At 48.2% G+C, this 16192-nt stretch overlaps 1 protein-coding gene and 1 pseudogene across 2 annotated transcripts, besides 1 other annotated feature; one reads left to right on the top strand and one right to left on the bottom strand.

Annotated features, from left to right (window-relative positions):
* RPL13P13 (ribosomal protein L13 pseudogene 13) lies at positions 109 to 965 on the top strand (annotated as a pseudogene).
* ZSCAN5C (zinc finger and SCAN domain containing 5C) lies at positions 8478 to 15666 on the bottom strand. 2 transcript variants are annotated; one of them, NM_001358413.3, is made up of 5 exons: positions 15617 to 15666; positions 11642 to 12152; positions 10677 to 10880; positions 9755 to 9905; positions 8478 to 9490 (listed from the first exon to the last, which is right to left on the bottom strand). In NM_001358413.3, exons 2-5 carry the CDS (start codon positions 12023 to 12025, stop codon positions 8739 to 8741), a joined length of 1491 nt encoding a protein of 496 aa, NP_001345342.1. In that variant the 5' UTR covers positions 12026 to 12152; positions 15617 to 15666; the 3' UTR covers positions 8478 to 8738. The 2 variants fall into 2 exon arrangements, with proteins under 2 accessions (NP_001345342.1, XP_047295186.1); XM_047439230.1 differs by lacking the exon at positions 15617 to 15666 and having other exon boundaries at positions 8739 to 9487; positions 11642 to 12461.
* Positions 9592 to 9761: an enhancer, noted in NCBI's record as "experimental_51953 CRE fragment used in MPRA reporter constructs". NCBI's record gives its function as "activates a minimal promoter by MPRAs in K562 erythroleukemia cells, with activity observed for both the introgressed and non-introgressed 19:56719632 variant alleles {active_cell/tissue: K562}" and the evidence as "EXISTENCE:reporter gene assay evidence [ECO:0000049][PMID:34662402]".
* Positions 15667 to 16192: the final 526 nt, after the last annotated feature.

Genomic DNA, 16192 nt, shown 5'->3' with positions numbered 1-16192 from the left:
TCTTCGCAGACAGCATTGGACCGGGGCCCGGGCTCTAGGGGCGGCCTCCGGCCCAGGCTGGGAGGTTAGAGGCGGAGGCCGGGGATGGGGTGCGCGCGCGCAGGGACCTTCCCCTCGGTGGCTCCCCTCTGGTCTGCAGCCGCAGGGCCGTAGGCAGCCACGGCGCCCAGCCGGAACGGCACGATCTCGAAGCCCCGCTTCCCCAAGGACTGCAGCGGCGCGTGGCCAAGCGGTTCAACCAGCCGGCCCAGAAGATCCGCAGGCGCCAGGCCGGGCAAGCCAAGGCGCGCCGCCTCGCCCCTGCCCCGCGTCGGGGCCCATCCGGCCCATCGTGCGCTGCCCCACGGTTCGGTACCACACGAAGGTGCGCACGGCCGCGGCCTCCGCCTGGAGGAGCTCAGGGTGGCCGGCACGCGAAGAAGGGGGCCCGGACGCCGGCATTTCTGCGGATCCGAGGAGGCGCAGTCCCTGCAGGCCAACGTGCGGCGGCTGAAGGAGCCCCGCTCCAAACGCATCCGCTTCCCCGGGAAGCCCTCGGCCTCCGAGAAGGGAGACAGTTCTGCTGAAGAACTGAAACTGGCCGCTCGGCTGACAGGACCGGTCATGCCCAACCGGAATGCCTAGAAGGAGAAAGCTGGAGTCATCATCGAGGAGAAGAATTTCAAAGCCTTCGCTAGTCTCCGCATGGCCCGTCCCAATGCCCGGCTCTTCGGCATACGGGCAAAAAGAGCCAAGGAACCTGCAGAACAGGATGTTGAAAAGCAAAAATAAAGCCCTCCTGGGGACTTGCAATCAGTCAGCAGTCATGCTGGGTCTCCACGCGGTGTGTTTCCTGGCAGCAACTGGGCCTGGGATGGGACTTAGTGGCTGTGACTTCCTGGCAGCGGGTTTGGGGTTTTCTTGAAAGACAGTCCAAGCCCTGGATTATGCCTTACTTTCTGTGTTAAAAAACTGTTGGTTGTTTGACGGGGGGAGGGGGGTTGGGAGAAAAGAAAGAAAAGAAAGAAAGAAAGAAAAAAGAAAAGTAGACGGATTTGCTGGGCACGGTGGCTCACGCCCGTAATCCTATCACTTTGGGAGGCCGAGGCGGGCGCATTGCCTGAGCTCAGGAGTTCAAGACCAGCCTGGACAATACAGTGAAACCCTCCCTGTCTCTACTAAAATACACAAATTAGCCGGGCATGGTGGCGGGTGCCTGTAATCCCGGCTACTCCGGAGGCTGAGGCAGGAGAATTGCTTGAACCCGGGGGGCGGAGCTTGCAGTGACCCGAGGTCGCACCACGGCCCTCCAGCCCGGGCGACAGAGCGAGACTCTATCTCAAAAAAAAAAAAAAAAAAAAAAAAAAAAAGGAAGAAAGAAAAAAGAAAAGAAACGTGGAGGGATTCGGTGTGGGTGAGGTTGCTTCAAGCTGGTTTGGTACAAGAGCTTTCTAGCCATTCCTTATCTGTTTAGAAGTGACCGACCCACCCACCGCCAGGACGGCTCATCAAACAATGGAACCATTTGCCCTTATGGCGCACAGCTGTAATATCCAATCATCTCCAGGTGCCAAGCATGTCCTCTCATTTCATTCTCAACACGATAACGAGCGGAGGGCGGGGACCATTTCAAAGACAAAACGTGGACACCGTTTTTACACACAATGATGTTTGCACAAAATGATTGAAATGACCTGGCTTTCACAACGATCCAAAGCTACATAGAAACAAGCATAAATCTCAACTCAAGCCTGCCAGGCCCCATCCTGTAGGAACAAGTGAAATGTGAAAACTTGACCCATTGTACTAGTAGGTGGAGCTGCCACTATTTCAGTCATTGAATTGGTCTGACACATAGAATTGGGCTGACTCTGCCGACTCCTAAAACTAGAATCTAGACATTGCAGGTACATCACTCAGAGCTCCAACGAATGCCTCTGCCTTCATAGAGTAGCTTTCTGACTTCTCTTTAGCGTTTTCTCAGAAGATGCCTTGAAAATAGCCCATACAGCCAACCGCGGTGGCTCATGCCTGTAATCTCAGCACTGTGAGAAGCTGAGGCAGGTGGATAGCTTGGGTTCAGGAGTTAAAGACCAGCCTGGGCAACATGATGAAACCCCATCTCTACAAAATATACAAAAAAAAAAAAATTGTAAGGCCTGGTTGTGCACACCTGTAGTCTCAGGTACTGGGGAGGCTGAGGTGGGAGGATTGTTTGAGCCTGAGAGGTTGAGGCTGCAGGGCATTATGATTGTGTCACTGCACTCAAGCCTGGGTGACAGAGCAAGACCCTGTCTCAAAAAAAAAAAAAAAAAAAGAACAAAATAAGAAAAAAGAGAAAAAAGATAACAGCCCATATAGGGGAAGGGAAGGAACCAGGAGCTCAGTGAGGATGGCAACAGAGTCATCCAGGTTGATGGCTGTTGGCTTGACCATGAATACTGAAAGTTGAAATGGGGAGAACTGGTCAAATGCTGAATTTGTTTTTAAGTTTTAAGAAAATCCTGGCCAGGCATGGTGGCTCACGCCTGTAATCCCAGCGCTTTGGGCGGCTGAGGCAGGCAGATCACTAGGTCAAGAGATCGAGACCATCCTGGCCAATGTGGTGAAACCCCGTCTCTACTAAAAATACAAAAATTAGCTGGGCATGGTGGTGTGCGCCTGTAGTCCCAGTTACTCAGGAGGCTGAGGCAGGAGAATTGCTTGAACCCGGGAGGCAGAGGTTGCAGTGAGCCGAGATCATGCTGCTGCACTCCAGCCTGGCGACAGAGTGAGAATCCATCTCAAAAACAAAACAAAACAAAAAACAGAGAACCCCTTATCTTTTTCGTATAGTTTTACTGAGGTATAGTTGATATACAATAAATCACACATATGCAAAGGGTACAATTCAATGAAGTTGAGAATACTACTCAGCAGTAAAAAGGAATCATTGATTACACCCAAGAACATGAGTGAATTTCAAAATAATTATGAAGGTGAAGGAGGGCAGATAGAAAAGGAGTACATAAGGTATGATTCCATCGCTAGAAAATTCTACCCCTAGGCTGGGCACACTGGCTCATGCATGTAATCCCAGCACTTTTTGGGAGGCCCAGGCAGGCAGATCGCTTGAGCCCAGGAGTTCAGGATCAGCCTGGGCAACATAGTGAGACCCCAGCTCTACAAAAAAATAGAAACAATTAGCCGAGCATGGTGATGTGTGCCTGTGGTCCCAGCGACTTGGGAGGGTGATGTGGGAGGATCAGTTAAGCCTGAGAAGCTGAGGCTACAGTGCGCTATGATTGTGCCACTGCACTCCAGCCTGGGCAACAGAGCAAGACACTGTCTCAAAAAAAAAAAAAAAGAAAAAGAAAGAAAAAAGAAAAAAAAGGCAAAAATAAGGAAATTCTGTCAGTGATCTGTAATGACACAGAGAACACCAGTGGTTGTCCAGGGATGGAGTTGTGGGAGGGACAGATGATGAAGAGCCTGGGGAAGCGTTGGAGGATGGTGGGGATGTTCAGCTTCTTGATGACGGCAATGACTTCATGAGTATGTACAAATGTCAGAACTTGGACTCTGGACATGCAGGCACAGGAACCAGCTAGAGGAGCTGCCGCACAGCAGTGTAAATGCACCAAATGCCACTAAACTGTACAGATAAAACAGTTAATTTTATGTCGCGTGAAATTCATGTCAGTAAACACATTAATTAAGGTATAGGATTTGTTGAGAGACTGAGTGTGTCATGTGAGGGAAATGCAGGAATCAAGGATAACCCCACAAATCTTGTGGATTGCACATCAAGGGGGCTGGAGCCACCCTTACGTGAGGTGGGGAAAGATGTGGTCGGTCTAGGATGTGTGGTGATTGACAGCTCTGTTAGGCATCCAAGACAAGGGAAACTCCACATCCCCATGAGGGAAGGATGGTGGTTGGTCACACATTCTTAGAGAAGGCATTATTTTCTGTCTGTCATTATCAATATTAACTTTATAAATTTATACATAAAAATGGCGCCTGTAGTCCCAGCTACTCAGGAGGCTGAGGCAGGACAATGGCATGAACCCGGGGGGCGGAGCTTGCAGTGAGCGGAGATCGTGCCACTGCAGTCCAGCCTGGGCAACAGAGCGAGACTCCGTCTCAAAAACAAAACAAAAAAAAACAAAAAAACAAAAAAAAAAACCCTTACTCCTAAGCCATGGGGGGAGTTCAGGTCTTAAACATTAGCTGCCCGATTCTCCTTGCTTGGTGCCCTGCAAATAAATGTCTTCCTTTCTCTCACTGTAAAAGCTTCACGTGGGTGTTTGGCCTGAGTGCACTCGGATAGCAGAGCCCAGTTCCGTTTGGCTGATGTTGGGATGATTTTCCACGTCGACCTCACCTTGTTCTGCATTTTCTTTGAAGTACAGCTGTTTTTTTCTGGGAATCCAGAAAGCTAGAAATAACTGCAGCCATGTTGACCGGCCCAGCCTCCAAGACCCCAGGGATCATGCCAGGGGAGTGGGTCTCTTGCCCCTTCTTCCCTAGCTGTGCTTCCACCTCCTTCCCCACCTCATGTCCCATCGTCAAGGTCAGAGTCTGAAAAGCCACCAGGTGGGCCAGGTGGTTGGTTGGTGCAGATTTGGCTCCGGGTTGGGTAGATTAAGCAGTGTTGGGTTGTTGTTTTTCTGAAAGCAAGGGCACCTTCTAAATTCAATTCAGTCATCCCTAGCATGGCGCTTTTTTTGAGACTGAGTCTTGCCCTGTCACCGAGGCTGGAATGCAATGCTGGGATTACAGGCGTGCACCACCATGCTCAGCTAATTTTTATTTTTAGTAGAAATGGGGTTTCACCATGTTGGCCAGTCTGGTCTCAAACTCCTGACCTCAGGTGATCCACCCACCTCGGCCTCCCAAAATACTAGGATTACAGGCATGAGCCACTGCGCCCAGCCGCACTGGGCTTTTTTGAGGTTGCAGTGGGTATCCTGTTTTCATTGTCACATCAGGTAAATCAAGCTCTTGGCTCAGAGCACATAGGTGGATAAGGAGCAGCAGTGCAAAGGCCACCCAGTGCCACATGTGCCCAGAGCCATGAGGGGCAGTCCCTGGAGTGGTGCATGTAGCCAGCCACAGTGGGAGGGACCCCCGTGCAGGGTGGGTGGGAGCCAGCTGTGGAGTCTACCTTCTTTAGACTGGGAATGGAGGTGCATGACTCTCCGTGGAAATGAACTCACTGATCCCCATGAGAGAACAGGAATTGGAGTGACCAGACAATCAGAAAACCGACCTGCCAGACTCAGCCACACATTTGATCACCTGAGGAGTTTTATAAACTCTCAACACAGGGGCCACATCCTCAACCAATCACATCATTACCTTGGGGCTGGACCCCAGGCATTGCTTTTTAAAAAAATATTGAAAAAACACCTCAAGTGAGTCCAACATGTAGGAAAATTGGGAAATGAAGCTCTAAAGAAATGTCGGATGTGGTTAATGGATCATAGAGAAACATGATTTAAATTAAGTGGGCAGGTGGTATCATCAACACATTTTCTGTGTCTGGAGAAGGATGTTGGACCCAATATCTAAATGGAGAACCACTACCCACCAAACATCCACTTCTTGAATTAAACGGGAGTCTGTGTACATTTGATGGCGGATTCAGGTTTCTACCTCAAGGACTCTTTCTCCTAAATGGACCTGGGTGAGTCAGGATAGGTAGTCAAGAAGGTGACCATGTCCTCCAAACGCAGCACCCATGGGGACCGTACAGCCAACACAATCAGCCCCAGCCTTCACTTTCTAATTGAGTTCATTCACACAAAACCATCTACAAAAGGGAGTTTTCCCTGTAGAGAACATGAGCATTGTGATTTTACCTGTTCACAAACTGACCCTTTGCTCGTTATAATAGTAAAAAACACACCCCTGGGTGGAGACTTAAGATGCTAAAGAGACGTGTGCACAGCTACTGCACCTGTGTGCCCAGGGGACCACCCAGAACATGCTTACTAGTAACACCTCTTCCCACCCCCTTGTGTAATGATCCGAGACTCCCATAAAGGGGAGTCTCCCTCTAGCGGGTCTTTGCTGTCTCATCCTTAGGAGCAGTTGGCCCTGAATCCTTGCTCCCAGGATGTCCTGTCTATTCTGCCCTTAACTTTCAAAATACTCTATTTCCTTTGCAATAGTTACTCTATGATGCATCTCTTTGCTGTGTGTCTCTTGATAAATTTCCTTTAAATTAAGATGACAAGAACCAAAGTCTTACAAAAGTGGCCTTTAATAAATGAATCCAGCCTATTCGGGAAGGGACCTTTCCAGACCTCTGCAGACTGCAGGACTCTGCCTGTCAGCTCATCCATAAAATGTTCTCCCAAGACCAGCAGCATCAGCACCACCTAAAATGCACATTCTCAGGTGATCCCAAACAAGTAAAATCTAAGAAATTGTCACCAAGAGGATCCTAGGGAGACGTGACAACTCAAGGCAATGTGGCATCCTGGATGGGGAGGAAGGAAGAGGAGGTCATTGTGTAAACACTAAGGAGGCCTCAATAAGGTATGGGCCTTAGATCACGGCAATATATCCAGTCAGTTCATCGCTTGTGGCAAATGTGCCATACTAACGTACCATGTTAACAATAGGGGAGGCCAGGCGCAGTGGCTCACACCTGTAATCCCAGCTCTTTGGGAGGCCCAGATGGGCGGATGACTTGAGGTCAGGAATTCGAGACCAGCTTGGGTAACGTGGTGAAACCGCATCTCTACTAAAAAAATACAAAAATTAGCTGGGTGTGGTGGCACATGCCTGTAGTCCCAGTACATGGGAGGCTGAGGTAGGAGAATCGCTTGAACACAGGAGGTGGAAGTTGCAGTGAGCCAAGATCGTGCCTCTGCAATCCAGCCTGGGTGACTGAGTGAGACTCCATCTCAAAACAAACAAACAAACAAACAAACAAAAAATAATAGAGGAAATGGTGTGGGGACAGTAGGGAGCTCAATGGACTTTAGAAAGCTATTCTAAAACAAATTCTTTTTTTTTTTTTAATTTTGAGACTGAGTCTGGCTCTGTTGCCCAGGCTGGAGTGCAGTGGCACAAACTTGGCTCACTGCAACTTCTGCCTCCCGGGCTGAAGCAATTCTCCTGCCTCAGCCTCCCAAGTAGCTGGGACTACAGGCACGTGCCACTGCGCCTGGCTAATTTTTGTATTTTAGTAGAGATGGGGTTTTGCCATGTTGGCCAGGCTGGTTTTGAACTCCTGACTTCAAGTGATCTGCCCACCTCAGCCTCCCAAAGTGCTGGGATTACAGGCGAGAGCCACCGCACCCGGCCTACGAATTCTGTTTTAATGCACACTCTCAGGCCCCACCCCCGGCCTACTAAATCAGAAGCTCTGAGTTTGGGGTCCACCCATCTCTGGATCAACAAAGGCTTCAGGGGATGGTACTATCACTAAGACCAACTAGTCACCAGAGACTCCCAATGCCTCCGTAGTTCAAGAGTCAAATCAGGAATTTAGAGGTTGCCAAATTTAGGCCACAAAATACACCATCTGGGGCGGGGAGATAAATAGGCAGAGCAGAGAGGATTCGGGGGGGGCAGTGAAAATACCCCCCCCACAATACTCCAGTGGTGGGTACTCATGAGGCCTTTGTCCAAACCCACAGGATGTACAACACCCAGAGCGAGCCCTAATGAACACCATGGACTCTGGGTGGTGGTGATATGTCCAGGCAGGCTCACTGATGGAACAGGTGCACCGCTCTGCTGGGGATGCTGGGCGGGGAGGGGCTGTGCTGTGTGGGGTGGGAGTCTACGGGGACTCTGCGCTGTCCACTGAATTTCCCTGTGAACCTAAGACAGCTCTGAAAAAGAAAGTCGTTAGCCAGGCGTGGTGGCTCACCCCACACCAGCCTGGGCAACAAAAAATCCCATCACTACAAAAAATTATTTCCAAAAATTTGAATATCATAATTATAATAAAGTCTAATAAAAACAATACAGGGCACAGCGGCTCATGCCTGTAATGCCAGCACTTAAGGAGGCTGAGGCAGTTGGACCACTTGTACTTCTGAGTTCAAGACCAGCCTGGGCAACAAGGCAAATCTTCATCTCCACAAAAAAACACAAAAATTGGCCGAAGTGGTGGTATGATCCTGTAGTCCCAGCTACTTGGGAGGCTTAGACGGAAGGACTGCCTGAGCCTGGAAGGTCGAGGCTGCAGTGGGCGATGATCCTGCTACTGCAATCCAGCCTGGTTGACAGAGGGAGACCCCATCTCAAAAAAAAGAATAGAAAAAAAAATAAAAAAGAAAACTATTTAGGATACCTAATAAAAGCTGAGTTTCAGATAAATAATGAATAATTTAGAACAAGCTGATACTAAAAAAACAAAAAACGTTTATCTGAAACCCAGATTTCCCGAGGCATATCGTGTATTTAATCCGGACACCCTCCTTGGACAATTGTACTTTATAGCAAAACAGTGCATAACAACAGCATGTCAATCAGGAGACTGTTTTTTGTTACAAAATATTGAAAACTAATAAGATGTTTATTGAAAGAACAGCAACACAAACCAAAATAAACCTAAAACAATAGAAATAATGAAACAAAAACCAAAATTCCCCCGGGGAGGAAAAAGATTTAAACAAACATCCTAGGAATTCCTATCTAGGGCACTCCTCTGCGTGCCAGGCGCCCTTCATCTGTCAAACGTCATCTGACAACATCGGTGAAAAATCTTCATTCACACTTTCTTGGTGCAGAAGACAGACCCGATGGTGAAGTCACTGTGAAGTGGCTTCTCGATGTGTTTTCTGGTGGCGTCTTAAGGTCGCCGGCCGACCGAAGGCTCTTGGACACTTGGAACATTTGTGGGGTTTCTCTCCAGAGTGGATGCGCTGGTGCTCCTTCAGATTTGCCTTGTAGGTGAAAACTTTCTTGCAGTCTTTACATTCGAAGGGCTTCTCCCCTGTGTGGCTTCTCTTGTGACACTTCAAGTAGGACTTCTGGGTGAACTGCTTCTGGCAGATGTCACACGTGTAGGGCCTCTCGCCAGTGTGGGTTCGCTGGTGAAATTGCAGGCCTATGCGCTGCATGAAGCGCTTCCCGCAGAGATTACACTGAAAGAGTCTCTCGCCTGTGTGTGATCTCGTGTGGACGGCTAACTTGCCGCGATACTTAAACCTCTTGCCGCACACCTCACATGCAAAGGGCAGCAGTTCCTTGACTTCTTGGCCACTGGGGTGACTGACTGGGCCCGCAGGGCCTGGGGAATGAACTGGATTGATCTCAGCTTGTCCCGGGGATTCTCTGTTGCCCACAGGTGTGGCTTCTCCTTGAGGCTCTTCTTGGGAAATGGAGGTGGCGTCTGGTTTGCTTCTTTTGAGACCTCTCAGATTCAGAGCGTCTCCTCTGCTCCCGCTGTGAGTCGAAGCTTCTCTCTCCACAACGCAGGCAGAAGGTGTGTCAGCATCCACATTTTCCACAGAGGCTCTTTTTTGGGGTTCCTTCCCCTCCTTTGCTCCCACCACCCCTGCTGGAAGAAGGGATTCCACACACACAGTTAATAAGGTGCATTTTCAATACACCAAACTCATTGCAACCAAACACTGATGTTGGCTGACAACTTCCCCTCAACCTTAAACCTAAGACATTGGACTGTAGGTCTCTGGAGAGTAAGGGATGGAGAGGCTTTGGCAGCTGAGTGCCAACTCCCCCAGACATGATAATGCTGGGACCCCAGCCCCACACCCCAGAAGAGAGGGGCTATCTCCACACAGGTGTAAGTCTTCATACTTACTGGGACTGTTTGGAAGCTGAGGCTCTGGGGATGTAAGTCCTGGGTTCTCCTCCCTGTCTTCCTCCAGGTCCTTCTCCAAGGTCGGCTTGGGTCTCAGAGCCTTTGGGTCACCTTTCATGACAGTAGTCTCTGGCAGCAGGAAGTCCTCTTCCTGAGAATGGAAAACCAACAGCAATGACTGCCATGCCTAAACCGGTGGAAGGACATGTCTGCTTTTTCCTGACTGGATGCACCAACTCTTCTAATGACACAGGTGTGGTGGTTTTCACTGTTTGGTTCTCTGGGCATATTTCTCCCCGCTGTGCCAGCATCTCCTTGCCCCTGACGCTGGAAGGAGCATGACTCTAGGTGGAGGCCCCTAACCCCTGGCACCACTGGCATTGGGGCTGCATCACCCTCCTGGAGGGGGCGCTCCTGTGCAGAGCAGAGACCCCGCCTCCACCCTCTAGATGCTATCAACACCCCACCACCCCCTACAATGACAACAAAAATGTCTCTAGACATGGCCATGTGTCCGGAAAGGCAGAATCACCCCAGTTGAGAAACACTCCTCAAATTAAGAAATTGACAATCTGTAGGAGGTGAGTTCCCTGCTGAATTATTACATTAAATGTCTTTGAGGAAACTGGATGGGGATGGGACCTTCAGTTCATTCATCTGTGCCAACTGCCTCCGTTATTTCACCGAGACCATTTCTTACCCCCCACCCTACATGCTAAAAGCTCTCATGGTGGAGAGAAAAGTAGATGAAGCTTCCCTCTCTGTGATGGCTCAGGAATGAATGTTTGGGGATGTACCATGTCCATGGGGAATGGCTGTAATCTTGTCCTGTGCCAAATCTCTCAATCAGTCCAGTGGCCACACGATTTCCTCCCGTTCCTTCTCCCACCTCTGCCCAGACACCAAGGCCTCACACACCCACCTGCCTCCTGAACAGTGCAGGGACCCTGGGCAGGGTCTGCAGCTCTTGGCTGGCCTGGCCTTCCTCCGGACACATCTGGTTCACAGAGGAGGTCCGCTGGCTGGACACGTGTCTCGGATCATCTCTGACACTGGCGGGGGCTTCAGCCATCTCCACATCTGATTCCTGCATAAGATATTCCTTGCCAAGAAAACTGACTACAGACTATAGAGAGAAAAAAAGCAATCAGACTAACTATGAGAACCTGAAAGTAGCTCTCATATTCCCTGGGTCCTGCCATAATGCTCACACTTTACTGTAATTAATGTTCAAATCTGCCTTCCCGATGCAGAATCAGCTCTGTGTGAACTTTTTTCTTTTCTAGATAAGTATATAAATATGAGTCCTTTAGATGAAAGGGTCTCTAAACCAAAGAGAAAAGAGGGAGAAATATTCTGGGTGAATCCAACTCAATTGGCTGATGGCGGGCTCATGTGCGGACCTGGAGGCAGATCCCTGAATCTCTGATACCAGCCACTTTCCCTGCCTCAGGATGGTATTTCTGGGCCCCCCTTCAGTTCACTCTAATGCCTCCTTCCCTACATTCCATCAGGCCTAATATTTCACCAATGTCTTTCTTTCATGTTGGCCTCACACAGTGTGTGGGTCCCTGTACCCCCTCTGCCTGTCCATCTCCTACACCAGGAACTTGCCGTCTCAGCACAGCTGATATTGGAATCTGGAAGATTATTTGTCATGATGGGTTGTCCTGAGCTTTGGAGAATGCTTAGCAGCGTCTCCTGTCCTCCCCCTTGTGACAATAAAAACTGTCCCCAGACACTGCCATGTGTCCCTGATGGGCAAACTCTCCTCTACTTGGAAGCCCTGACCTAGAGCAGCCCCTCGGGTCCTCTCGAGTCCAGCTGCACCATGCAGCCCCCATCCCAGCTCCCCTTCCCTGCACCAATCACGAGGGTCCCACTCACCCATTTCTTGGGTCTTCTGTTATTTCGTAGCAGGTCCTCCAGGTCTTTGCAGCTCTGCACACCGTTCATCATGACTAAGACCTGGAGCTCCTGGGGCATGGAGATCATGAACTGCTCCATCACCAGCATGTCCAGGATCTGCTCTTTGGTGTGGAGGTCGGGCCTCAGCCACAGATGGCACAGCTCAGTGAGTTTCCTCAGAGCCTGGATGGGGTCCGACTCCTTCGGGCAGCTGAACATCCTGAAGTTCACGTGACAAGTCTCAGGATCACTGTCATGATTTCCAAGTTGAGTTGCTGGGGATGGCATGGACTGTGGTGGCTCTGACCCAGGGCTGTTGCAGGATTCTCCTAGACTCCATGAGGATGTGCAATTTGCAGCCATGTCTACTGGGGAATATTTCAATCTGTCTCTGGGAAAGCTCTTCCAGAAGCCGGTGTCTAATTGCGACCTATATACACAGGCCACCCCTGGTTTTTCTCAGTAATAGATTCACTGTTCATTCAGAAGTCTGCAGGGAAAAAAAGCATGAGCTCTGTTAAAGTTTCTACTCTACCCACCCCATCCTTCCAAATCCCTCATCCCAATCCCAGACCCCACTTCCCCTCTAGCATTGGACTCAGCACCGTGGAAATCAATCCACTCTGTTATTCTTCCAGTGTCTACACCTGACCACATGTTCTGGAGTAAAATCTGAATACTCCCCTGGATTCTGATCTCTAGGGGATCATTGTGCAAAGGCTGAATTGGTTTTCCTGCCCATCGAACAACATTGTTTTTGACTGTAAATAAAATAGGACAGGAATGTGAAGCGCCTAAAATCTGATATAACAATCATGTCAATTCTTTATGTTTTCTTATCAAGATAAGATCCAAGGCAAATCCTTAGTCATAATTATGCAATAAGACAAATAAAAATAGTTACAACGTAAGATATTGTCCCACAACAAACCCTCTTAATCCCAGAATTATTCGCTCCAGAGAAGGGACAGCACTAAAGAATCCTATGAGGATTAAGCTCCTACACAGATATTTTGTTATTTTGGTGAAATGCACATTCATAATTTCATCATTTTTACCCTCTTCAGGTGAACAATTTCATGGGACTAAGACATGCACCATGTTGTGCAACCATTACCACTGTCTAGTTTCTAGCTCCAGAATTATCTCATCACCCTAAAAGGAACCCCATCCTCATCAGTGATCACCGCCTGCCCACCCACCCCAGCCCCTGGCAATCACTAATCTACCTTCTGTCTCTAAGGGTTTCTCTATTCCTAATCTCATCTCAGAAAATGGATTTAAAGTCTAGTGCTCTTTGATATTTTAAAGAAGTGGGTTGATACAATAATAAGATTTTTAAAAATTAATTCCTAAACCTAGCTTCATTAGGCAAGAGCCACTGAGTAATACTCTCCAGGCATCAATTATCACCCAAGTTCAACAGCTATGAGAACACAGCCCTGCTTTCCTAGACACAGGTGGGGGAAGCAACCTGAAGGTCTGCAGAGGGGAGAAAAAACTGGCAGGAGGGTCTTGGGAAAAGTCACTGGTAGCCTGGAGGGCGAGTGCCCCACACTTCCTGGAAGGACTTTGAGCAAGTGCAGAACAGAGAGACAGCCAGGGAGACAATCGGCAGAGGCGGGAGACAACCCAGAGGAGGAGACAATATTTACACACCACACATCTCACGGGGCTCCTGTGCAAAACATAAGCAACTCAAACTCCTCCAGAGCGAGAAAACAACCCACTAGAGGGGCTTAAGGCGCCCGTGTGGACATCTCAGATGAAGACATGTGAATGGCCAGCAGGTCTAGGAAAAGGTGCTCGTCATCACTCATCATCAGGGACATGCAAATCCAAACCACAAGGCACCCCTCACGCCTGCTAGAGTGGCTGTTCCCAAAAAGACACATGGAACGAGTGTTGGTGAGGATTCGGGGGAAAGGGGTCCTCTGCGCCCTGTGCTGGGATGTAAATTAGAGCAGCCGATATGGGAGACAGTATAGAAGCTCCTCAGAAAATTGAAAGTCCAACAACTGCATGAGCCGGCAATCCCGCTCTGGGGCAGGTACACAGAGGAAAGGAAATCAGGACGTGGACTCCAAAACAGTGAAACTCTGGAGGGATAGAGGGAGGGAGGGTTGAAAAACTACCTATTGGTTGCTATCCTCACATCCTGGGTGATGGGTAGAGTCATACCTCAAACCTCAGCATCACTCAATATACTCATGTAACACATCTGCACAGGTACACCCCAAATTTAAAATAAAACTTGAAATTATAAAATAGTTTTTAAAATAAAAGAAGTAGGTAATGTAAACAATAATTAAAAACCTAGTGGACTCAGGCTGAGTGTGGTGGCTCACGCCTGTAATCCCAGCACGTTGGACGGCTGAGATGGGCGGATCACCTGAGGTCGGGAGTTCAAGACCAGCCTGACCAACATGGAGAAACCCCGTCTGTACTAAAAATACAAAATTAGCCAGGCTTGGTGGCACATGCCTGTAATCCCAGCTACTTGGGAAGCTGAGGCAGGAGAATCACTTCAACCCGGGAGCCAGAGGTTGTGGTGAACAGAGATCGCGCCATTGCACTCCAGCCTGGGCAACAAGAGCAAAACTCTGTCACCAAAAAAAAAAAAAAAAAAAAAAAAATTCCCAGTAGACTCATAGTAGCAGTGAGTAGAATGGTGGTTAACAGGGCTATGGTGAGGGTTGGGGAGATATAGGTTTAAGGGTATGAATTTCAGTTGAAGAGATCAGTTCAAGAGAGCAATTGTCCAACATGGTGACTTCAGTTCATAACAATGTATTGTATAATTGGAAATTGCTTAAAGAGTAGACTTTAAGCATCCTCATGACCAAAAATGATTAGTCCATAAAGTAAGGCATGTGAATATCAGCTCAATTTACCCATTTTACATTGTTTCTATCCTGCAAAGCACATTATGCTGTACACCATAAATACGTATCTTTCTTGTTTTTCAATTTAAAAGTAAATTTTTTTTTTTGAAAAAGCATATGGATATGAGAGAGAAAAGGCAGCCTGAAATTCTGGAATTAAAAATGATTTTGCCACAGGGCACCTGCTGCTGCTCAGGAGGCTGAGGAGGGAGGATCCCTCGAGCCCAGGAGTTTGACAACCACCTGGGCAACATAGTGAGAGCCTGTCTCTAAAAAAAGGGGTTCATGTTCCTAGAAACCACTTTGTATTCGCTGTCAGTTCATTTCCCATTAAAACAAGCAATGGGACATGGGAAAAAATAAAGGCAGGTACGCGGGTTAGTATTCAATTCTGGGAGTATACAGCACACAGGACCCCCAGGTAGGGACACTTAGTGCAGATTCTCATTGGCCTAGTAGGTTGATGCCCATTCATCAATGGCTGATTTTACCCTGTGGAAAGGGAGAATCCAGCGATGCTTTTTAACAAGTGGTGTGTGGCCAGCAAGGTGGCTCACACCTGTAATTCCAACAGTTTGGAAGACCAAGATGGGAGCATGCTTGATCCCAGGAGTTCAGGACCAGCCTGGGCAATGTACTGAGACCCCATCTGTACAAAAAAAATTAAACATTTATTCAGGCATGGTGGCAAGTGCCTGTAGTTCCTGCTACTTGGGAAGCAGAGGCAGGCGGATCGTTTGAGTCCGGGAATTCCAGTCTAGTCTGGGCAATGAGAGAGATCTCATCTCTAAAAAATAAAATGTAGCCTAACCACGATGAGAAAGTTAATATTATTCCTATTTTAAGGGAGAGTTATATAACAAGTCAGAATAAATAATAGGGTGCAAAGCAGACCCACTGCCTTCACAAGGTGTCCGGGCAAATGCATGAAAAAATAAACCCAAATCTTTCTGAAACCAACACCCCAACCCAAATCTTTCTGAAACCAACCCCTCAATCCAAATCTTTCTGAAACCAACCCCTGCAGGCCAACTCCAAAACCCCACAGACATCCCCAGTGGACACTTACCTCCTTCCTGACTTCTGCCTCCAGCCTCCTCTCTTCTAGGATGTGCTCTCCAACTGCTCTGGAGCTGAACTGTCTATTTATAGAGAACCCCCGGGACTCCAGGCCTCTCTTCCAGTCCCCTGGGCCCCCACATGATTGGTTTAGGGCCATAGAATCCATTGAAGGTGATTAGCATTGATTACATTTCTCAATGAAACCCCACCCACAGGAAATTAATGTATTAAACATGCCTACCATGCAAATAACATAGGTTTTCCCGCTCTACTGAATTACATTTCATATTTCTGAAGTATTTGGAGGCTTCAGGGACTATAGATCTGCAAGTTTTAACCACTTTGCGTCCCCTCATGGCACAGACAGTAATATCCTAATGAGTAAAGGACATGTTAAGAGTTGGTTGAATAATATCAAACCAGTGATTTGCTCTAGTTTAAGGAAAGCTTTCACATGTGAATGTCAAGATATTGAAAAAAAAAGGGACAGTCATTGTTGATACATAATGAGTAGTAGTGATAATTTTTCACTTTTCAAAATCTGGGAATTGACATGGGAAAGCTGTGCTTGAACTAGGCTAAA

The sequence above is a fragment of the Homo sapiens genome, chromosome 19, assembly GCF_000001405.40.
Source record: "Homo sapiens chromosome 19, GRCh38.p14 Primary Assembly".
NCBI classification, from domain to species: Eukaryota; Metazoa; Chordata; class Mammalia; order Primates; family Hominidae; genus Homo; species Homo sapiens.
The sequence above is the reverse complement of the archived record's forward strand: the minus strand, read 5'-3'. Positions and strand labels throughout refer to the sequence as shown.